A 3,658-nucleotide genomic window follows, 5' to 3' on the forward strand; every position below is an offset into this window, starting at 1 on the left:
CCTCAGTTTCCTCAACTGTAAAATGGACGTAAGAAATGTACCTACTGCACAAGGATGTTGTAAGGATTAAATATGATAATGTATGTAAAATGCTTCTTATGAAGTCTGGCAAGAGTAAGTACACGATAAATATTACCCATTATAAAAAATTATTAGAGGAACAATAACTGAAGACTGGCTCTGCAACTGCATTGGAAGTCTTTTTAGAGATGTTGTGAAGGATCCAATTTTTTTTTATTTTTTATTTTTTTTTTTTATGAGACGGAGTCTCGCTCTGTCGCCCAGGCTAGAGTGCAGTGGCACCATCTCGGCTCACTGCAAGCTCCGCCTCCCGGGTTCATGCCATTCTCCTGCCTCAGCCTCCCGAGTAGCTGGGACTACAGGCGCCCGCCGTCACGCCCGGCTAATTTTTTGTATTTTTAGTAGAGACGGGGTTTCACCGTGTTAGCCAAGATGGTCTCGATCTCCTGACCTCGTGAACCTCCCACCTTGGCCTCCCAAAGTGCTGGGATTACAGGCGTGAGCCACTGCGCCCGGCTGTGAAGGACCAAGTTAAACAAGAATAGGGCAGGGAATCACTGAACACATGGACTGACATGAATACATATAGGAAAACAGGAATGCACAGGGAATGTTTTAGAATTATAAATTTGCATGCAGCTGAGCAGTATTTTACTTTAAAATGAATATTACAATGAATAAAGAAGCAAAGAGTATGAGTGGCAAATTAACAAATTAGGGAATGATTAGTAAAAGAACACGGAAAAAATGTAGGCTTACAAAGAATCAAAAGTGCAAATTAAAACACAATGAGAGAGGGTGCCTGTGTCAAGATGGTGAATTAAATACACAAATCTAATTATTCTCTGAACCTCAAATCCCAAAAACGACAGGCATGATTTTAAGAAAATAGAACAAAGTGCCACCAGCAGAGTAGGAATGTTGTGAAATGTTTTAACTATAAAAATCACACGGCACTGGATTGATGGAGAATACTCAAAAGAATGTGCAGAAAAAGACCTCTACCTTGCAGAATGCAGCCCTTCTGGAGGTTATCCAAGTTCACAGGTAATTAAAACATGGAGGAGCTGGGATGAATAGTTGTGGAAATTATTGGGTAGCTGCTGTAACAAACACATCCTGAAATCTCATTGGTTTAATACAATAGACGCTTCTTTCTCCCACTTGTATCATGTGCAATCAGCCGCAAGGATGAGTGAGAGCTGCAAGATGGGGGCGCTGTTGCATGCTTTCCTTCAGTTTGATGGACGCTCTGACATCTTTAAACTATAATTTTAGGTATTTCCCTGGGAAGAAAGGGAGGAAGCAGTAATGCCTTTAGACCAGGGCAAGTGAGGCTTTTCTCCTGGGTCATGCCACTCCGGGATCCCTGTGCTTTGGAGCATCTTCCTTGACATTTTCTAAACCTGGTGTCTCGAACTGCCCAGAGACAGTGTCTTCCATGCAGGGCACTTCAAGTCTGGACCTGGTCTAACATGATTATGGTCATCAGAATCTCCTCTCTGAAATGTCCTAAGCTCTCTCCCAGGACTGGGAACAGCCTGAGCTGGAAGTATCATCCAGGTGAGGCACCCTGGGCCAGGACTGAGTGGGTTTCAGTCCGGTTTCTCCCCTTCGGACTATTCTGTGACTCCTTCCCATATCTTTGTTTTTTTTTTTTTTCTAATGTGTCTTTTCTTTTTTTTTTCCTGGCTGCTTTTAAGATTTTTCTCATCACTACCACTTTTCAGCAATTTTATTATGAGTTGATGTGGCTTCATTCGTGTTTCTTATGTTTGGTGTTTGTCATGCTTCTCATATCTATAGGTTTATAGTTTCATCAATTTTGCAAAATTTTGAGTCTTTTTTTTTTTTTCAAATATTTTTCTCTCCCCTCTCCCTCTTTTCCTGGGAATCCAATTACATGTAGTTTTGACTGCTTGATATTGTCCCACAGATCATGATGCTCTGTTGTTTTTTTTTAAGGCTTCTTGTACTCTGTGATTTCTTTTTCTTTTTTTGGCAGTCTCGCTCTGTCGCCAGGCTGGAGTGCAGTGGCGTGATCTGGGCTCACTGCAACCTCCCCCTCCCGGGTTCAAGCGATTCTCCTGCCTCAGCCTCCTGAGTAGCTGGGACTACAGGCATGTGCCACCATGCCAAGCTAATTTTTGTATTTTTAGTAGAGATGAGTTTTCACCATGTTGGCCAGGATGGCCTCGATCTCTTGACCTCGTGATCTGCCTGCCTCAGCCTCCCAAAGTGCTGGGATTACAGGTGTGAGCCACCGCTCCCAGCCTGAGCCATCGCACCTGGCTTTTTTTTTTTATTTTTCTTTTTTTGAGATGGAGTCTTGCTCTGTTGCCCAGGCTGGAGTACAGTGGCACAATCTTGGCTCACTGCAACCTCCACCTCCCAGGTTGAAGCAATTCTCGTGCCTCAGCCTCCTGAGTAGCTGAGATTACAGGCACTCACCATCACGCCCAGCTAATTTTTGTACTTTTAGTAGAGACAGGGTTTCACCATGTTGGCCAGGCTGGTCTCGAACTCCTGCCCTCAGGTGATCCACTCGCCTTGACCTCCCAAAGTTCTAGGATAACAGGCATGAGCCACCACACCCGGCCAATCAAAGGCTAATTTAATTCCAATACTAAGATAACACTCTAGAGGTTTCTTCCCAATGTGTTGTATATAATGAAATCTTTCCACTATGTCTGGTGGGCAGATGAACTATTCCTAGCCTTGAGCTCCAGCCACGATTGTTCCTACTCCTTTCTGATGGTTGTTATTCTGGTCTTGGAGAATTTTTTTCTCACACATGTACAAATCAATACTTAGGACCCCTCTGCAGCTCAGCCTCTCCTTCCCTCTTCTTCCTTCCCTCCCTTTCATTTTTTCTTTCTCTCTCTCCCTCCCTCTCTATGCCTTTCCCTCTCTTGTCTCCTTTGGGAATTCCTTTTTTTTTTTTTTTGAGACAGAGTTTCACTCTGTCACCCAGGCTGGAGTGCAGTGGCACAATCTCGGCTCACTGCAAGCTCCGCCTCCCAGGTTCACGCCATTCTCCTGCCTCAGCCTCCCGAGTAGCTGGGATTACAGGCGCCTGCCACCACGCCCGGCTAATCTTTTTGTATTTTTAGTGGAGATGGGGTTTCACTGTGTTAGCCAGGATGGTCTCGATCTCCTGACCTCCTGATCCACGGGCCTCGGCCTCCCAAAGTGCTGGGATTACAGGCAAGAGCCACCAGCCCAAACAGGAATTCCTTTTATGAGGAGGTTAGTTAGCTAGATGGTGTTTCATAATTCTTGTAGGCCTTCTTCACTCTTTTTCATTCTTTTTTTCCTTTTGCTTCTCTGATTAGGTAATTTTATATGTTCTGTCTTCGATCTTGTTAATTCTTTCTTCTGGTTGATCATGTCTGCTGTAGAAGCTTTCTAATAAATTTTTTAATTCAGTTATTGTATTTCTAGGATTTCTATTTGGTTTAAAAAATTGTTTCTATTTATTTATTAAATTTAGTATTTTGTTCCTGGGCTGTTTCCCTAATTTCATTTAATTTTCTATCCATATTTTTTGTGATTCCCTGAACTTTAAGAGAATTATTCTAACTTCTCTGTCTGTCATTGTATACATCTTCAATTCTAGGTCCATTGGTTCCTTTTA

The 3,658-nt window shown here is 43.0% G+C and overlaps 2 annotated features.

Annotated features, from left to right (window-relative positions):
• Positions 1,673 to 2,173: an enhancer, noted in NCBI's record as "H3K27ac hESC enhancer chr12:79906476-79906976 (GRCh37/hg19 assembly coordinates)". NCBI's record gives its function as "activates a minimal SCP1, AML or CMV promoter by ChIP-STARR-seq in primed H9 embryonic stem cells {active_cell/tissue: H9 hESC(primed)}" and the evidence as "EXISTENCE:reporter gene assay evidence [ECO:0000049][PMID:30033119]".
• Positions 2,174 to 2,674: an enhancer, noted in NCBI's record as "H3K27ac hESC enhancer chr12:79906977-79907477 (GRCh37/hg19 assembly coordinates)". NCBI's record gives its function as "activates a minimal SCP1, AML or CMV promoter by ChIP-STARR-seq in primed H9 embryonic stem cells {active_cell/tissue: H9 hESC(primed)}" and the evidence as "EXISTENCE:reporter gene assay evidence [ECO:0000049][PMID:30033119]".

This window comes from Homo sapiens, chromosome 12 (genome assembly GCF_000001405.40).
Source record: "Homo sapiens chromosome 12, GRCh38.p14 Primary Assembly".
In the NCBI taxonomy this organism is placed as follows: Eukaryota; Metazoa; Chordata; class Mammalia; order Primates; family Hominidae; genus Homo; species Homo sapiens.